This window comes from Homo sapiens, chromosome X (genome assembly GCF_000001405.40).
Source record: "Homo sapiens chromosome X, GRCh38.p14 Primary Assembly".
NCBI classification, from domain to species: Eukaryota; Metazoa; Chordata; class Mammalia; order Primates; family Hominidae; genus Homo; species Homo sapiens.
In genome coordinates this window covers 22,442,732-22,463,794 of record NC_000023.11, presented here as the reverse complement: position 1 = coordinate 22,463,794, position 21,063 = coordinate 22,442,732, and the positions used below count along the sequence as shown (strand labels likewise).

At 36.8% G+C, this 21,063-nt stretch overlaps 1 long non-coding RNA gene across 1 annotated transcript in view, besides 1 other annotated feature; it reads left to right on the top strand.

The window, feature by feature from the left end:
• The window catches only part of PTCHD1-AS (PTCHD1 and PHEX antisense RNA), a 1,100,142-nt gene that overhangs the window by 829,352 nt on the left and 249,727 nt on the right, over positions 1-21,063 (top strand). The window lies entirely within an intron of this gene.
• Positions 17,461-18,110: an enhancer, noted in NCBI's record as "OCT4-NANOG hESC enhancer chrX:22463802-22464451 (GRCh37/hg19 assembly coordinates)". NCBI's record gives its function as "activates a minimal SCP1, AML or CMV promoter by ChIP-STARR-seq in naive H9 embryonic stem cells {active_cell/tissue: H9 hESC(naive)}" and the evidence as "EXISTENCE:reporter gene assay evidence [ECO:0000049][PMID:30033119]".

Below are 21,063 nucleotides of genomic sequence, written 5' to 3'. Positions count from 1 at the left end.
CGTTGCTGGCTGTTAGCTAGAGGTTATTCTCAGCTTCTAAAGACCACACACATACCCTCACTCATGGTCCCCTTCATCTTCCAACCCAGTCATGGCAGGCCAAGTCCTTCTCATGCTTTGAATATCTCTGACCTCTCTCTCTCTGCCTTTTCTGTCCTACTCTAGCTGGAGAAAGTTCTCTGTTTTGAGGGCTCCTGTGATTGGATTGGCCTACTCAGATAATCAGGGTAACCTCTCTATTTCAAAGTATGTGACCTTAATTACATTTGCATAGACCTCTTTAAGATGTAACCTAAGATATCCGCAGGTCACAGAGATTAGGTGTGGGGATCTTCCAAGACATTATACCTACCGCAGTTAATTCTATTGCATTCTATTTATTAGAAGTGAGACAGTAAGATCAGTCTGTATTCAAAGGGAAGGCAGTTAGGCTCCACTTGAGTTGAGGAAAGCATCAAAGAATTTATAAACATATTTTAAATATCATCATATGGAGTGTTATTTCAAGCACATTATTTATACCAGGACTTTAGTTTTTGGAAGCGCAAAAGTCAGAAATTAACATCCATTGTTTGTTTATTTTTAGGTCCTAGTATTTAGCCACATTTTAAATTAAAACATGACGTCATGTACTTACAACTACATGTAGAGTCACATATAGTTGTAAGAAGCAAATATCTAATAAATACTTATGAGGTCATGTACTTACAACTACATGTAGATTCACATGTAGTTGTAAGAAATAATACCAAGAGGTCTCATGTGCCCTTCATTCAGTTTCCCCCAATGTTAATATCTTGGCAAAACTATAATGTATCACAAGAAGATATTGAAACTGATGCAGTCCACAGTCTTATTCAGAATTTTTCCCGCCTTTCACCTTTTTTTGCTTTACTGAATTGATCTTCTTTCCTTAGAACACAGAGGTGAAGATCTGGTTTGAAGGCTGGGGAATTGTGGTAAAACAAATAAAGGTAATGCAGGCACACAAAAAATAGTAACACGTTGATGAACATTTTACAAATTCTACTATATCTATGCTTTATGTGGCAGATGAATGAGACTATTAGGATGAATGAGGAATGCCTCCTACTTTCAAAGGTTCCATGTTTAATGGAAGAAATAGACTGACAGGATTGGCTAACTTTCCACCAAAATTCATACTCCTCCTTCCGTGGTAGAGAATTGTCCAACTCCCTTATATTAAGGTGAGATCATGTGACAAATGTTTGCCAATGCAAGGTAAGCAGAAGTGACTTGTATCACTTCTGGGCCAAGGTAGTTAAATGAAGGATATGTCTCCTTCTAACTCTCTTCCCTCTTAGCCAAACTGGATATTGACATCCTAGCAGATCTTTGCTTCAGAGATGACAGAGCATCCATTAGCCAGAGCATCCTTGAATGATTGCTTGGAACAGATGTCCCTAAACCCCACTAACTAGACCTGCATTAGACTGTTATATGAACAAATAATAAGTTTCATCTGCTGAAATGTTTAGGATTCTCTATTATAGTTGCAATACCCAAATTAATACACAGACCTAGGAACAAATAACAACAATACAATGCGAAGAGTACTGTGATGGGTGTAGGGCGTGATGGGAACACAGAGCTCACACTGGGTAGGAAGATGGCAGAGAAGTCACCAAAAGCATACTAGAGAAGAAATTGATTTTCTGGAGAGTGTGTAGGTGATAGGTAGCATTTTAAGCAGAGGGAACTAAATGTACACAAACACACGGATATTCAGTAACATATTAGGGAGTATTATATGGTTTAGTAGAGCTGAAATAGGGTGCATTGAGAGGTAATAGGGAGGGTGGGTAATTACAGAAAGAGTGATCTTGTGTGTTAGTTTGAAGTATATGTATTTCATCAGAGTGAATATGAGCTTCTTAACAGTGTTTAAGCAGGGGCTGATATGATTAAGCAATTTGAATATGTGAGACTCATAGGAGGAAAAATTTTTATCTTATGCAACCTAAGATAACGCAAACTCCAGAAGGGCAGTTATTTGTATAATATTTTACATTGTATCTAAGTAGTAGTACTACAGTATTTTGTCTACAACCATTCTAAGAATAATTTGGGGGAAGCACCTTGCTTCTGGATGACATTCAATTTAGGCTTTTAACAAAATCATCATTAGTTCAACTTCACTATAATGGATCTGAAGCAAATGTTATGAAGACACAGAGTGCATTAAGATCTTTATGTAATGGTCCTTTGCAAATGGGTATGCCATATTCACTAAATCTACTACGCATTATTCAAACTCACCTATTGTGTCAACACTTTGCAAAAGGGAGATTAGTATTGCAAATATGGAAATGTTTAGATATCCAGAATAAAACAGTAACACGAAAAAAGGCTTTTTAATTGAGATGTAATTCAAATATCATAAAATTCAGCATTTTAAGGTGTACAATCATTTGTTTTTAGTGTATTCGCAAAGTTACGCCGCTTTTACCACTATGTAATTCCAGAGCACTTTTATTACCCCAAAAAGAAACCCCATGCTCATTAGTAGTCACTTCCCATTCTCCTCCTCCTCCTGTCTATGGAAATCACTAAAGTATTTTCTGTTTCTACGGATTTGCCTATTCTGAACATTTTATAGAAATTAAATTATACAATATCTGGACTTTTGTGTCTGGATTCTTCCACTTAGTATAATGTTTTAAAGGCACATTCATGCTGTAGCATTTATCAGTACTTCATACCTTTTTATGGCCAAATAGTATTTCATTGTATTGATCTACATTTTTATTGATACATAATAGTCGTACATATTTATGGAGTACACGGCATAGTTTGATACATGCATACAATGTGTAATGATCAAATCAGGGTAATTGGGTATCCATTACCTCAAACATTTATTGCTTCCTTGTATTGGGAACATTCCAAATCTTCTCTTCTAGCTATTTTGAAATATACTATAAATTCTTAACTATGGTTGCCCTCCTGTGTTATTGCACATTAGAACTTATTCTTTCTACCTAACTGTATTTTTGTAGCCATTAATCATACTACATTTTGTTTATTCACTCAGTTAATCACATGTAGGTTGTTTCCACCTTTTGGCTGTTATGATTAGTAATGCTATAAATATTCACATAAAAGTTTTTGCATATATAATCACGTACCAGATAACGTTTCAGTCAATGACAGACCACATATATGGCGGTAGTCTCATAAGATTATGATACCATATTTTTACTGTGCCTTTCCTATGTTTAGATATATTTAGATACAAAAATAATTGCCATTGTATTAAAATTGCCTATGGTATTCAGTACAGTAACATGCTTTACAGGTTTGCAGCCTAGAAGTAATAGGGAGTTTGATCCCATCCTGTCTCATTTTAGGCTTTTACAAAAAGATAGTGTGCCCTTCAAATGTATGGTATGGTGATGGACACCCATGAAGTGATTCTAACTTTGTGGTTGAAAGTTCTACTACTGAGACTTCTTTTTTAATTTTTTTTTTTTTTTTTGAGGCGGAGTCTCACTCTGTCACCCAGGCTGGAGTGCAATGTTGTAATCTTGGCTCACTGCAACCTACACCTCCCAGGTTCAAGCAATTCTCACACGTCAGCCTCCCTAGTAGCTGGGATTAAAGGCAGATGCCATGATGCCGGGCTAATTTTTGTGTTTTTAGTAGAGACGGGGTTTCACCATGTTGGCTAGGCTGATCTCAAACTCGTGACCTTAGGTGATCCGCCCGCCTCAGCGTCCCAAAGTGCTGGGATTACAGGGGCGAGCCACTGTGCCCGGCCCACTACTGAGACTTCTTGTTTTGAAGCACAGGCCTCTCAGATCATGAAAATCATTAACATTACTGCTATTACATAGCAGCCTAGGTATGTAGTAGGCTGTATCATCTAGGTTTGTGTATGTATACTCTATGATGTTCACACAACAACAATATCTAATGACACATTTCTCAGAATGTATCTCAGCATTAAGCGATGCGTGACTGTATGTTTGAGATTCTTTTGGGTATGTACTTAGGAGTAGAACTTCTGGGTCATACGGTAACTCTGTATTTAACTTTTGGAGGTATTGCCAAACTGTTTTTCACAGAGGCTTCACCATTCTACATTCCCACTAGCACATATGAAGATTCACATTCCTTTACATTTTCACCAAGTGTATTTTCTGTTTTCTTTCTTTAATTACAAGTATTCTTGTGGGTGTGAAGTGGTATCACATTGTAGTTTTGATTTGCATTTCCCTAATGACTAATGATGTTGAGCATGTACCTATTTTCCATCTGTATATCTTTGGAGAAATGTCCATTCAAGTCCTTTGCCCATTTTCAAGCTGGTTATTTGTCCTTTTGTTGATGAGTCGTAAGGGCTCTTTATTCTGCTTAATAGACCCTTATCAGATAAATGATTTCCAAATATTTCCCCCCATTTTATAGGTTGTCGTTTCACTTCACTCATGGTGTCCTTTGAAGCACAAAAGTTTACAAAAGCTTAGTTTTGATGAAGTTCAATTTGTCTACTTTTCCTTTGGTTGCTTGGGTTTTGGTGTCGTATCTAAGAAACAATGCCTAATAAAAAAGTCAGAAAGATTTACTCCTATGTTTTCTTCTGAGAGTTTCATAGTTGTAGCGCTTACATTTATGTTTTTGTTACATTTTGAGTTAATTTTTTGTATGGTATTAAGTAGTGGTCTAACTTTTTTTTTTTTTAATGCCCATGGATATCCAGTTTTTCCAACACTGTTTGTTAAGACAACTTTTCTTTCCCTATTGAGTGGTCTTGGGATTCTTGTCAAAAATCAATTGAGTGTAGATGTATAGGTTTATTTCTATGTTCTTAGTTCTGTTCCATTGATCTGTGTCTGTCCTTATGCCAGTATTATACTGTCTTTACTGTAGGTTTGTAGTAAGATTTGAAATTTGGAAGTGTGACTCCTCCAATCTTGTTGTTCTCTTTCAAGATTGTTTTTGGCTCTATTGGGTCTCTTGCATTCTCATATGAATTTCAGGATTAGCTTGTCAATTTCTCCCCCAAATAGGCAGTTTGAATTTTGATGGACGTTTAATCTATAGGTCAATTTGAGGAGTATTGCCATTTTAACAGTGTTAACTCTTCCAGTCCATGAAATTATTTTAAGAAGTGGTGCTTAACTCTCTATTTAGGCCTCCAGAATCTTGGCTACCATCACAAGCTGGCGTCCATGTTTTCCATAGCTACCTCCATATCTTGTTCATTACTGTGAATCTGGAAGGACTTTATACTGTAGTGACTCCTTAATGAGTGAAGTAACAAAATTAAAATTAACTCTAATATAGTGGTGGTGAAAATGAAAAATAAAACAACCGCTAAGGGGGGAAATTTGGCATCACCTATTAAAATTACATATGCATGTATCCTTTCATCCAGCAATCCCCTTCTAGGAATTCATTTTTCCCATTTCATGTATTCCATAAATAATTATATGCCTACTATCTACCCACAAAAAATTTAAAAATTACAAAAAAATCAATGTGAAAAAATAAATTTGTAGCCCAAACAAGAAAACAAGAAAAAAGAAAGAAAAACATCTTAAACCTGAAAATGAGAAAGCAGAGGATGTCAGTCAGGAAGCAGAGCCATGAATAAAGACATTGCTAGATATTCACCAATGTTGGCACCTCTTTGCATTTGAGCCAAAGTTATCTTCAAAGTAGGAGACAAATAAAGCTGTAAAGTTATCCAATAGACAAATGAAAATGCAATAAGTATTTGATCTGATATTCCAGTTTTATTCCAGGTAATCAGTTGTAGCTTTCTACATTGGAGTCTTATATACTACTTCAGTGAATTAATATTATCAGTTGAATGAAGAAAGTGAGATAGAATTGATAGTCTGATGACAGACACTAGAAATTTTTTTTTTGTATTCAAGTGTTCCCACCCTATCAAGAGTTTCTGCTCAAAGATTACTTGTAGCCAAAGATATTTACACAGCTTCATTAAGAAAAAACCAAAATTAAACAAAACATCCCACCGTATACGTTCAATAATAAAAGGGATTTCTAAATAAATTATGGTACACCTGTAAGATGAAAGATTATGTGGCCATTAAAATTACTCATGTGAAGAGTGAGAAAATGTGTTTTATAATTTTATGAAAATGCAGACAATAAAATTAGATCTATGGGATGATCTCAATTAGGGAAAATACGCTTTAAAAAAGTGTGGAAGGAAATATAACGACATGTTAACAATGTTGCCTTTGGGTAGTAAGATTATGGATACTTTTCTTTTTGTACTAATATGTTTACTATTTTGTGGATAATTTTTTTGTAATCAGAAAACAGTAAACTATTTTTTAAGCCAAAGGCATCCCATCCGCACCTTTCCTTCTCTTGTGTACTATGGGAATATGCATTTTGATCTGACCATTGATTGTGGCTCTTTCGACAAAGTGCAGAGTTATTGTGACTTATGGTTAGTTCACAGAGGCTTATTATCTTTAGGCTGCCCAATTGGTTTAGCAGCTCTTCAACAATCATTTATTCTTCTAGCAAATGGCACCACTGGACAGAACAGTGAGATCCCATTGACTATCCTAATTTGAAAGCAATGGACGAAAAATACAAAGGTTGTTTTATTAATGAAAAGTGATGATTGATCTGCTGTAAAAGATAAAATGTTAAAATCCAAAATCTTACAGTGTTACTCACTGAGAATTCCCTAATGTCACTATTATTCCTAGAGAAAGTTTGGTCCAAGCTGGGGCACTGTGAACCCTGAGTTGGATAGTAGCTTTTTTCTAGAAGCCTTGCACCTCACCTTACCAGGTGTGCACAGAAATAGTGTGTTTAATGCTCTTTGATGTCATGAGCTCCTTATGAAAAATCTAGATCAATATATTGCAGTGATAATTATGATATGAATTCTGAAAAATTTTTCAGAATATTTTAAACAAGCCTTTCTACTTGAAACCTATCACAGTTGAGAGAGATTTTTGAAGACAACGTGTCTTCATTATTTTCTTGGCTTTTCTCAAGATGACAGAATTTTCTACTCATCCTTACATTTTCTTTTTTTTTTTTTTTTGAGACGGAGTCTCGCTCAGTCGCCCAGACTAGGGTGCAATGGCGCCATCTCGGCTAACTGCAAGCTCCGCCTCCCGGGTTCACGCCATTCTCCTGCCTCAGCCTCCCGAGTAGCTGGGACTACAGGCGCTCGCCACCACGCCCGGCTAACTTTTTTTTGTATTGTTAGTAACGGGGTTTCACCGTGTTAGCCAGGATGATCTCGATCTCCTGACGTCGTGATCCGCCCCTCTAGGCCTCCCAAAGTGCTGGGATTACAAGCATGAGCCACCGCGCCCGGCCTCATCCTTACATTTTCAAAAGGTTTCAAATTTCAAGCTGTTTTACATTTTCAACAATCTTACAAAAACATTTGGGGGTGTGGCTTTCATTGACTGAATGCGCAAATTGTGGTTTTGCTTTAGATAGGGTATTCAGATTCAACAGTGGGCACCAGGATGCTACTTAGGGTTGGAAATGTGTTTGTATTGTTTTGCTTTACTTTTGGCTCAGGCAGGGATGAATCGGGGGAGTCAGGTGGCATGGCCATGAATAGGACAGTTTCATTATTTTTTGAGATTCTTAAACACATCTATTTGGAACATAATCTTGAACCAACCAAATCTCCTGGGAAGTCCTACCAGAAATGAATTCATTTTGCATCCAAACTTCAAGGACATAAATTTATAAAATTGCAAACTGAACATTGCTTTTGGCCCGTTAGGCAACCTCAGTAAGAAATGTGAAAGGGAAACAATGAACCTTCACCATCCCTAAGCTATCTAATATGCTTTTTTTCTTTGGATGATTTGAATCAGAGAAGTGGTACATTGCAGATGATTGGATCACTTTGTAATCCCAAAATTTGATTTTCATTGAATTTACATACATTGAATAAACTTTGAGTGAAAGATTGTCCATCTGTGATGATTGTTCATAACCGAAGTATGCTTGCATTACAATGTCTTATTCACCATTGTATCACCTGCGGCTAGCACAGGACCTGGCATAAAGAAGTCAGTCCTTCAGTAAATACTTGCGAAGTAAAGGAACTTTAGTTGCCTTGGATTTTAAAAGGTAGCCTGAAGACACCACGACGGAGATAATCAGAACTGTGCTGACATAAAGCTTGAGAGAAAATCACAAAAGAAAACAATTCTAACATTGTATAGGAAAGTCATCACCTGAAATTGGAGAAATCCCACGAATGGTACTAGCTGCAGTATTATCAAGGACATTGTTCCTGGTAAGCCCTTTAACCCCTCTTAGTTCACTCACTTGAAAAATGACAATGTTCTAGATCTAAAATGCTGTGATTCTTTCTGAGTCTCCTTCTATAAACCTTGCAGCCTTCTCTATGGACCACAACTTACTTGAAACAACTGAAGAGGTTTCTCTTGTCACTTTCCTCTCCTAGGCTCAAGCTACTACACTGGATTTTTTGAAGATCACATCTGTGTTCTATTTTCACTGCCCCTTCATATGCAGAAAATATAAGACTCTCTTGAGCCATCCTAATTAGGTTATAATGCAAACCCTAAATTGGCTGCACTCTTCTGTTTTTTGCCCTTCATGCTTTATTAGTCTCTTTTCCACTCCCTACTTGCAAAGCAGTTTCCCAGGATTGAGTCTGGAGTGATGTTTAGAATAAAGCCTCAGTAAATTTGAATTCTCATCGTTGGCCTTACCAACATAGTTTTTAAAAAACAACTCACAGACCTTAAGCAATCTCAGTAAGTAGCTTAACCAAATCAGTTCTAATATAGCTTTTAAGGTGATTGCATCTTCTCAAACTCCAAGATCCAAATAGATGAGATTTTAGAAATCTCACAAAACGGTCTAGTGGCCTCTCAAGCTAAACCTGGAGTACCTATCACCTTATTTGTGACTAATCTAGTGCCTGATATATACAAGTATATTGAATACATTTATCACCTTCCAGAGAGAAATTCTCGGCAGCATTCATCTGCTGTTTCTGTTTCCTTATCTGTGAGGAGTTTTTCCCCCTCTCATTTGCTTTCATAACTCTTTTCCTCACACACTCATATAAATTTAGATACTGCATGAAACAACTAACTCTGACTACAACCATAAAAAATATAGAAGCAGAGAATACATCCCATAGAGATAGGAACTTTGTATGCATAAAAAATTATGTATGACTGCGAAGCTAATGGTTAAATTTGTTCAGAGATATGATGACACTGGAAGACCTTAACAGCAGGAACAAGATGAGTGGAATCAAATACCAATTAAACAGAATGACTCTGGAGTGAGATCTACCAAATAATTTACTTTACTGGTTAATTAGCAGCTAGAATTTGTAGATGTTTTTTGAGTCCATGTATTATTTATTTGGTCCTCACAACTACCTATGAAGGCAAGCCAAGCATTACTATTATCCCAGTTTCACAAATGACAAAGCTGGGGCCTAGAGGCTCAGTGTTTGCCTAAGATTGTACGACCAGAAACTGATAAAAACTCAGATCTTCTAACTGAAAAGTCCATCATCTTTCCAATACAGTACATTGAATATGATTAGCCAAAAGTTAAACTAAACCATTTTTTTTAAATCCTGCTAAAAATTCTTCTAAAGTATATTCATATACTTGCTTCAGAAAAATAGATATGCTAACCATATGTAAGTCCTTTTATCATATAGATATAAAAAAGCCAGAATCCTACTATGACAAAAAAGACCCCAGTTTGTTATTATTATATATGAGTTTCATTTTAGTAGAGATGTTAATTGAAAGGAACGTTGGGGTGGAGAAAGAGCGGTGAGTTTCAGTGCAGGTATAGCTCAAGTATGCCACTGACACAGCCCATATCCCAATCAGATAAATTTATTGCAGCCAGCACTGCAAATATGTCCTTTTCTTCCTGGTAACTATGCCTCCATGTGTAATGGAGTGAACTCTGTTTCTTTTTATGTCAAATTCCTGCTTACTCTTAATTTTCGACCCAAATGCTGCTTCCATCTAAATTCCCATAATTTTTATCTGTAACATCTTTTTGAACTTAACACATTGACTTTGAAGTTATTTGGTGTACATATCATAACTCCTTGATCAACAGAGGACAGAATTATTTCTTCTTTTTAATATCCTCGGGGGCTTTACACATAATGGTATTCCTTAGATTCTTGGAATCTACATTTAGGTAGATGTGGGATTTAACTAGGATGTGGTTTTACAGTGACACATAAAGCAATGAATAAATGGAATCCATAGAAGTGTATTTGAGGCTGAAAATTAAGAAAAAGAATTAAATGTGTATTCACTTGAAAATAATCCTCAGAAGTTGCACTTAGGAAATAGGGAAAGGTTGGTAATAACGGTAAGTTGGTGCAAAGTAACTGCAGTTTTTGCCATTTGTTCTGTTGTAAGATTGCTCGGGTTTGAATGCTATCTCTAGCATTTACTAGTGGGATTGTATTGGGCAAGTTGCTTAACAACTCTGAACCTCAGTTTCTTCATCTGTAAATTGGACATAATATCTATCTCATCGGATTATTGACAGGATTATATAAATAACATATGTGAAGCAACTGACACTATGCCTGACATATAGTAAGCATTCATTACACATTTGTTAGTTAGTAGTATTAAGAGTAGTAATAATAGTAGTAAATACTGCCTGGTGCCTTTTTAAAATCTCAAAAGTTGTAAATAAAATGAAAGAATAAACTAATGTTAAAGGAAATAGGGGAAATTGGAAGGGGAAGTAGATGATGATTTCTAATAATCAAAAACACAGGATTTTATTGCAATCTAGACCTTAAGCTGAATTTTTATTGATATATAATATTGGTACATTTTATAGGGTGTATAAGGTTTTTTGTTACATGCATAGAATGCGCAATGATAAAGTCAGGGTATTTGGGGTATCTATCACCTTGAGTATTTACTATTTATATGTGTTGGAACATTTCAAGTCCTCTCTTCTAGCTGTTTTGAAACATACAATACATTGATGTTAACTGTAGTCACCCAACTCTGCTATCAAACATTAGAACTTATTCCTTCTATCTAACTGAATGTTTGTACACATTAGCCAACTTTTCTTCATTCTCTATGCATACACACCCTTGCCAGCCTCAGATATCTATCATTCCACTCTCCACCTCGATGAGATCAACTTCTATACTTCCCACACATGAGTGAGAACATATGAGAACATATGTTCTGGCTGGCTGATTTCACTAAACATAATGACCTCCAGTTCTATCCATGTTGCTGCAAAAGACAAGATTTTGTTTTTTATGGCCAAGTAGTATTCCATTGTGTATATATACCACATTTTCTTTATCCCCATTAATCTGTTGATTGTCACTCAGGTTGATTCCACGGCTTTGCTATTGTAAATAGTGCTGCAGTAAACATGGGGTTGCAGGTATCCCTTTAACATACTGATTTCCTTTCCTTTGGATGCATACCTAGTAGTAGGATTGCCGGATCATATGGGTAGTTCTATTTTTAGTTTTTTATGAAATCTTCATATTGTTTTCCATAATGGCTGTACTAATTTACATTCCCACCAATAGTGTATCATAAGAGTTCCTTTTTCTCTGAATCCTTGCCAGCATCTATTATTTTTTGTCTTTTTAATAATAGCCACTCTAACTGGCATGAAATGATATCTCATTATGGTTTTGATTTGCATTTTCCTGATGATTAGTGATATTGAGCATTTTTCACATGCCTGTTGGCCATTTGCATGTCATCTTTTAAGAAATGTCTATATCCTTTGCCCATGTTTTAATGGGTTTATTACTTTTTTGCTATTGAGTTGTTTGAGCTTCTTGTATATTCTGGATATTACTCCTTTGTCAGATGAATAGTTTGAAAATATTTTCTCCCATTCCACAGGTTGTCTTTTCACTCTGTTTCCCTTGCTGTGCAGGAGCTTTTTAGTTTAATATCCCATTTGTCCATTTTTGTTTTCGTTGCCTGTGCTTTTGAGATTTAGCCATAAAATCTTTGCCTAGACCAATGTCCTGTAGTGTTTCCCTTACATTTTCTTCCAGTAGTTTTATAGTTTCATGTCTTATATTAAGCTTTTTAATCAATTTTGAGGGGTCTTCTTGTGTGTGTATGGTGAGAGATAGGGGTCTAGTTTCATTCTTCTGCATATAGACATCCAGTTTTCCCAGCACCATTTATTAACGAGGGTATCCATTCCCCATGTATGTTCTCGGTGCCTTTGTCAAAAATCAGTTGGCTGCAAATACGTGGATTTATTTCGGGGTTCTCTATTCTGTTCTATTGGTCCATGTGTGCCTATTTTATACTAGTACCATGCTGTGTTGGTTACGGTAGCCTTGTAATACATTTTGAAGCCAAGTAGTGTGATGCCTCCAGCATCGTTCCTTTTGCTCAAGAGTGCTTTGGTATTCAGGCACTTTTTGGGTTCCACATAAATTTTAGTATTGTTTTTTATTTTCTGTGAAAAATGATGTTGGTATTTTGATGGTGATTGCATTGACTCTGTAGATTGCTTTGGGTAGTATAGTCATTTTAACAATATTAATTATTCTAATATGTGAGCATGGGATGTCTTTCCATTTGTGTCCTCTTCAATATCTTTCATCAGTGCTTTGTCATTTTCCTTGTAGAGGTCTTTCACCCCCCTTGGTTAAATTTATTCCTAGGCGTTTTTTTTTTTTTTTGGCCGTTGCAGATGAGATTGTCTTCTTGTTTTTTTCAGCTATTTCATTACTGGTGTATAGAAATGCTACTAATTTTTTCATATTGATTTTGTATTCTGCAGCTTTACTGAATTTGCTTATAAGATCTAAGAGTGTTTTGGTGGAGTCATCATGTTCTTCTAAATGTAAGATCATGTCATTTGCAAAGAGGAACAATTGGACTTCCTCTTTTCCAATTTGGATGTAGTTTTCTTTTTCTTTCTTTCTCTTGCCTGATTGCCCTGGCTACAACTCCCAGTACTATGTTGAATATGAATGGTGAGAGTGGGCATCCTTGTCTTATTCCAGTTCTTAGAGGAAAGGCTTTTAGCTTTCCCTCATTCAGTGTGATGTTAGCTGTGAGACTGTCATATATGACCTTTATTATGTTGAGATATTTTCCTTCTTTGCATAGTTTGTTGAGAGTTTTTTTTTTTTATCATGAGGCAGTGTTGATTTTATCAAATGCTTTTTCTGCATCTATGAGATGATATGGTTTTTGGCTTCATTCTCCTGATGTGATGTATTGTGTTTCTTGGTTTATGTATACTGAACTACCCTTGTATGGGATGCAATCTCACTTGATCCTGTTACATTATCTTTTAGTTAATTTTATTATTTTAATTTTTTTAGAGACAGGATCTTGCTCTTTTGCCCAGGTTAGAGTGCAGTGGCATGATCATAGTTCACTGTAACCTTGAAATCCTGGGCTTAAGCAATCCTCCCACCTCAACCTCCTGAGTAGCTAGGACTATAGGTGTGTACCAAAATTTTTTAAAATTTTGTTTTGTAAAGACAGAGTCTCACTATGTTGCCTAGGCTGGTCTTGAAGTCTTGGCCTCAAGCGATCCTCTCACCCCAGCTTGGATTACAGGCATGAGCCACCATGGCCAGCTTGTATTATCTTTTTGATGTGCTATTGATTTCAATTTGCGGTAGTTCGTTGAGTATTTTTGCCTCTGTTTTCATCAGGAATATTGGCCTGTGGTTTTCTTTTTATGTCATGTTCTTGTTTGGTTTTGGTATCGGGTTAATGCTGGCCATGAGCAATGAGTTGGGGAGAATTCTATTCAATTTTTTGGAATAGTTGGAGAAGAATTGGTGTTGGTTCTTCTCTATAAGCTTGGTAGAATTCAGCAGTGAAGCCATCTGGTCCTGGGCATTATTTTGTTAGGAGACTTTTTATTACTCATTCAATCTTGTTACTGATTATTATTGATTATTGATCTGTTCAGGTTTTCTAGTTCTTCCTGATTCAGTCTTTATAGGTTGTATGTGTCCAGGAATTTATCCTTTTCCCCTAGGTTTTCCAGTTTGTTAGTGTATAGTCATTCCTAATATTCTCTGATGATCTTTTGTATTTCTGTGGTATCATTTATATTTCCTTTTTTTTGTTTCTGACTTTGTTAAACTGAACTTTAAGAATCCTAGTCTCCTCTCCTTTGTCCCACTTTTTATTTACCAAATAAATCAATCATTCCCCCATATCCTACTTCACAACTCTCAGGGAGTGCCCTATTGTAGAGTATCAAATCCACGTCATGTTTCCAGTAAAAAAAAAAAAAAAAAAAAAAAAATCATTTAAAATCAGTTTGTTGAAACCTTTTCTAAGTCTGCAGCATTCACTTGTCTACGGCACAGATGGCCCCAACTCACATCAGCCTCAACAGATTTATTTACTGTCCCCCTCCCCCAAGTGCCAGACAGATAAACCTCAAAGGACATGGGACTACTGACCTTTTAAATGGATAGCATTTTAAAAGGATTCTGAGTTATCCACTTACTCTACATCAAATAAATATGCTGCCTTCATCCTAACTCCTGATGGATACAAGGAAATGAGTAAAAGAAAAAAAATCTTTGCCCACAGCCAAGAAAGAAGAGAAAATGTCCAAGATCTTTTATCTAAAGGGAGTGAATCTGACTTTTTGGTTCACTTTGGAGATTGCTAAAAGATACTAAAGGAAGAAATTAACAACTAATTGTCCCTCAGGAGAAAGGTAAAAAAGCATGAAAGAATCTAGGGCAAATCTTTGTAAAGAAGTATAGGAGAAATTGGGCATTTTGGATAATTAGCTTGAGATTATACTCCTACTATGAGCTTTCAGACTTTTCACATGAATAATTCCCATCTTGGTAGGGCATCAAATCTATCACTAGAATATATAATCTTGATAAGTAGCAATGTTTGATTGTATTGAAAACTCTTTGCTTAGAAGCATCAATCAACTGGCTTTTCAAAGGCATGGCCAATGGTACACAAGTTCAAACTTGAACTCAGAATGTCCTGAGTGCATACACTAAGCCCAGCCTTGCTCTTTGCTTATTAGACTTTTTTCATCTGGAGGAGCCAACTACTACATTGTTACTTCTTCTTCCTTGTGTTCCTGTCCCCACCCTGGAGCCCCAGGAGTTATTTGATCTATTGATCATAGTTTGTTGATTATGTGCTTTCATATCTGTCTATTTCCAAAGTAACATTGATAACAAAATACGTAATGGAGCTTATATGTTGTAGGTACTTTGATCAGTGAAATGGATTAAGGCCTGATTTTTGGATCAGGTACTTTGATCAGTGAAATGGATTAAGGTCTACTTTTCCTTAATTTATGAGGACATTCTGGGATCCTCTGAAATATCCACAAAACAGTCTGGTAGCTTCTTTTGAGCGCCACACTCTCCAGCATTTCCAGTAGTTACCATGGTCACAGGTGGAAAGAGGTTAAAACATCTTATATCATTCTGTTGTGATACTTTCTAGCATATAAACTCTTTCTCCACAGAGACATCATCAGCATTTATTTGGTCTAAGAAGACAGAACGGAAATTCCTATGCTAGTTTAAAAAAATCATTTGAAAAGTTAAACTGCTCTACAGCAATGAGAATAAGAAATTATAGTTCCTCCACAATAACATATGTGAATCTCAAAACATAATTTGAAAGAAGCCAAACCGCAAACAATATATACAATATGATTCCACTTATTTAAAGTTTAGATACAGGTGATGCAAATATATAGTGTTAGAAGTCTGCAGAGTGGTCACTCTTGAGGGGGAGGTGAGTAAATGGAATGGGGCATGGAGGGGGATTCTGGGAAGCTTGTTAAATTGTTTCTTGATCTGGGTTATAATTAAGTGGGATTTACTTGGTGGCAATTCAACCCTATGCTTATTATTACTTTTCTGCGTATATGTTACATTTCAACAAAAATTCACTAACATAATATAACTAAAGGAAATTTTAGTTTACTAAAAATATTTTGAATGTTCTATACAAAAAGTGATACATTAATAAATCATAGATAAAAATAAAAAGGTTTTAACAAGTTAAATGGGAAGCTATCGTACCCAAAAAGTAAGACAATTAGGATAATAGGAAAAAGACTGGGAAATAATACAGTGAGGACTACAGTTTGGAAATGCAATCTATTTTATAAGCGAGGAAAATAAATTCCATGCAGAAATTTAAGAGAAAGAATAATTCCAAACTGTATAGAATTTGATCAAACATCAAACCACTTCATTTTACAGACTGAGAGACAGAGAAAAGCTGTTTGTTCAAGCTCACAGAGCTGGTCACTGGAAACTATAACCCAAGGCTCCTCAGGCCTCTCTCCCTCTTTGTACAAGATGAGGACAACAGTTGAGCTCCATATCACAATACGACTTTTCAACACGACGACAGATCTGATAACATGGAAGGTTGGAGTGCAGGTGGATGGCTGCTGCTGTGTACCTTTTCAGATTCCAGCGCTCCAGACTTTGGGGATGTTCCAGGAGTGACTTTCCCAAGACTGTAATGAGTTATGAGAAGGCATGGGAAAGCAATGTCAGCTCCTGCTGAAACTTCAATGGCAGAGACTGAGTCAATCGAAGAATAGCAACACTTGAACATCTGGAAACACCAGATCCCAAGAATGAGTTAGCCTCATTTTAAATATAAAGAAATTTCCAGAGTTGACTAGAGTTGGCTACGAGGAATAATTTTAAAGATTAAATGTCAGGGGGCAGACCTCGTACACGTCTGTGAATACTGTATACTTCTGAATAGGCCAAAGCTCCCTCTCAGAAGTCTCCCACGGGAGAAAAAAAATGAAATAAATATAAGAAGCCATTCCATTTCCTTTGTTCCCCAAGCAATAACTGACACTAGGGAATTCAAATAGATGAGGTTAAGTAAAGAGAGGAGTTAGCAGTAGGAGACTTAAGTCATATGGCAGAAGAATTAATTTAGAAGGCAGAATCAACAGAGATGAGGTGACAAATGGGAACAAAGTAAAATAAGAAGTCCAACTCAATGGAAAGGATGCCTCCAGCCAATCAGTAGAAGGGCACTGCTTTCATAATTGTGTTTTGGTTTTCACCAAGTATCAGGGAATCACTCGACCAAAGGTGGGAACTTAGAACAACCATGAGATGGTAATGGCAGAGAAGAAAACCTTGGCAACAATGGTGATACAACTGAGAAAAGCAAAGGCCTCCATTCCCATCTATTTTTTGAGATTCTTATTTATTTATTTATTTATTTATTTATTTATTTATTATACTTTAAGTTTTAGGGTACATGTGCACAATGTGCAGGTTAGTTACATATGTATACATGTGCCATGCTGGTGCGCTGCACCCACTAACTCGTCATCTAGCATTAGGTATATCTCCCAATGCTATCCCTCCCCCCTCCCCCCACCCCACAACAGTCCCCAGAGTGTGATGTTCCCCTTCCTGTGTCCATGTGTTCTCATTGTTCAATTCCCACCTATGAGTGAGAATATGTGGTGTTTGGTTTTTTGTTCTTGCGATAGAGATTCTTTTTTAAGAAAGAGATTTAAGACCCATGCATTGTTCATTTCACAGGTTCTATTTTGCATTACAACACAGGCAGTAATCCCAGGCCCTGTGTAGAATAATGTCTTCCTAGTGTTCCCCTTGAGAACCTACATTTGCTGCTAATGTGGGGCTGCATGTGATGACAGCCTGCTAGTTTCCTGCTGGTGGACTAATGGCTGCAACTAAGCACTCCTTTCAAACTGTGCTCAAACCCTTGATGTGGAGATCTCTTCCTTTGAAAGCTTGTCACAATTCAAGGACTGTGGAGATTAAGAGCCCATTTAAGGATTCAGCCACAAAAGCTGAAAATTATGTACTTTTAAGGACATCAGACATCTGGCAATGAATGTACAAAATGGTTGTAGGTTGGTGTTTGGGTAGAATCTCTCGAGGCTGGGAGACCAGGACCTGAGGATGTGTGGGTCTCTCTCACAGCCCAAAGTCCTTGAGGGAGTGGGCCAAGTGCTTGGGTAGATCACAGCTTGGAAGTGTCAATAGTCTTTTATATAAATCATGGGAATTCCTAGAAGTTCTGCCTGCTAGTAGGTACATGATTCATTACATAGAATTATACATCCTTGATAAGCTGCAAGGTAGAGTGCCCTCCAAAAATGTCCTAGTCAAATAATTGGCCAATTTTTTGATCCTTCTTCAGGTCATCTGACATGGTTACCCTATCCTAATGCAGCCCCTGGAGTCCTGGGGTACAGAGTGAGGTGTTTTTGCTTTGTCATCAGCAGCTTCCCAAAGAGTGGAAGAGTGCTCCACTCTTGAGTGCTCAGACTGCAGTTATCATGCCCCTATAAAGTTCTAGAACCGAAATAATTCCTGTAATTATCTGGCAAAACTCTACAACAGTGACATATACATGTGTGTGTATGCACAAATACATGTGGTATAAATCTATCAATTAGATTATTGTGATCTGCAAAATACCAACCAAAGTATATAACACGAGGCTGCTTCTTCCAAAACTCACCTCTCTTGGACAGACATCCTCTGTAAACAACATTAAAAGAGAGAAACACGCCACCTGGAAACCATGCTTCATCCTTCCCTTATCAGTGTAGCCTTAAACCAAAACATTGTCTTATCTGGCCTGTTTCCCAACCTTCTGTCCACCCACTGTGTGGTTCCATCACTCTGGGAATGTCCCTTTTGCATGCATTTGGCTTTCACTGGGAGTCTCACTTCAAGGATGCCAGCTTCTCATCTCCCCAAACCCTTCCCCAATAACAAGAATATCGAGGTTAGGTAGACAAGTGAAGGGATAAAGGTGAGAGCCTGCTATAAAGATATTTAACTGATGAAGCCCATATCAGTGTGGCTAAATGTAGCCATATACCAAAATTCAATTTGTATATGTCTACATAGCTAGGATACCTGGCAAGGATCTGAAATATCAGTCTGTGACTTACGTGTCAGTAAAACTACCCTGGAGAAACTGTACCAACTAAGTTCATATAGTCCTGAATTAAATTTTTTCCAATCCAAAAAGAACAATACACAATGTTCAAGACACTAAACATGAGTGCTTTGTTTTCCTACTTTTTATCATTTATCATGAATAAAACTCACATTAAAAAAAAACTCTCTTCACACAGACTCATCCAGAGAAGTGCCCACGTATGCCCTTCCTTCCAGTCCAGTTCTCTCTTCATCACCAGATGTTCTTGATGCTCCCTTCACAGGCATCTCCAACCCCGGCGTTAGTAGTCTCTGCTGTGAAATTTTATGAAGGCCTTTTGAAAAGTTAGCAGCCAAGGATCTAGTTGTATGATTTGGGCAAGCAACTTAAACGCTGTTGTCCTCAGTTTCCCAATCAGTTAAGGAGGGACCTAGGGCAAATTGTTATCAAAGTTTCTTCAAGTTTTGAAAAAAAAAAAATCGAAGATGTTAGAAGAAAGGAGGGAGATGTTAGAAGAAAGGAGGGAGAAAGAAAGAGAGAGAAATAATTAGCTTATCTATCTTGGGAGCTACAAGCTTCTTCCCCCTTAATATTTTTCCAAATTCCCTAAGCTTCTCTCTGTCATCAAAAGACCAAAGCCTTCCTGTTTCTCTAGCAAAACATATAATCAAGAATTTATTATTTTTATTTTTTTAATTTTATTTTTCCAGAAGTTATTGGGATTCAGGAGGTATCTGGTTACATGAATAAGTTCTTTAGTGGTGATTTGTGAGAGTTTGGGGCACCCATCACCTGAGCTGTATACGCTACACCATATTTGTTGTCTTTTACCCCTCCCACTCTTCCCCCTACGTCCCCGAAGTCCATTGTATCATTCTTATGCCTTTGCAGCGTCCTCATAGCTTAGCTCCCACATATCAGTGAGAACATAGGATGTTTGATTTTCCATTCCTGAGTTCCTTCACTTAGAATAATAGTCTCCAGTCTCATCCAGGTCACTGCAAATGCTGTTAATGCATTCCTTTTTATGGCTGCATAGTATTCCACCATGTATATACACCACAGTTTTTTAATCCACTCATTGATTGATGGGCATTTGGGCTGGTTCCATGATTTTGCAATTGTGAATTGTGCTGCTATAAACATGCGTGTGCAAGTATCTTTTTCAAATAATGACTTCTTTTCTGCTAGGTAGATACCCAGTAGAGGCATTGCTGAATCAAATGGTAGTTCTACTTTTAGTTCTTTAAGGAATCTCCACACTGTTTTCCATAGTGGTTGTACTAGTTTACATTCCCCCCAGCAACGTAGAAGTGTTCCGTGATTGTTGCATCCATGCCAACGTCTACTGTTATGGGATTTTTTTTTTTATGGCCATTCTTGAAGGAGTAAGGTGGCATCATATTGTAGTTTTGATTTGCATTTCCCTGATCATTAGTGATGTTGAGCATTTTTTCATATGTTTGTTGACCATTTATATATCTTCTTTTCAGAATTCTGTATTCATGTCCGTAGCCCACTTTGTGATGGGACTATTTGATTTTTTCTTACTGATTTGTTTGTGTTCATTGTAGATTCTGGATATTAGTCCTCTGTCAGGTGTATAGATTGTGAAGATTTTCTCCCACTCTGTGGGTTGTATGTTTACTCTGCTGACTGTTCCTTTTGCCATGCAAAAGCTCTTTAGTTTAATTAGGTCCCAGATATTTATCTTTGTTTTTATTGCATTTGCTTTGGGTTCTTGGTCATGAAATCCTTGCCTAAGCCAATGTCTAGAAGGGTTTTTCCAATGTTATCTTCTAGAATTTTTATAGTTTCAGGTCTTAGGTTTAAGTCCTTAATTCACCTTGAGTTAAATTTGTATAAAGTGAGAGATGAGGATCCAGTTTCATTCTCCTACATGGGGCTAGCCAATTATCTCAGCACCATTTGTTGAAAAGGGTATCCTTTCCCCACTTTATATTTTTGTTTGCTTTGTCAAAGGTCAACTGGCTGTAAGTATTTGGGTTTATTTCTGCATTCTCTATTCTGTTCCATTGGTCTATGTGCCTTTTTTTTTTTTATGCCAGTCACATGCTGTTTTGGTGACTATGGCCTT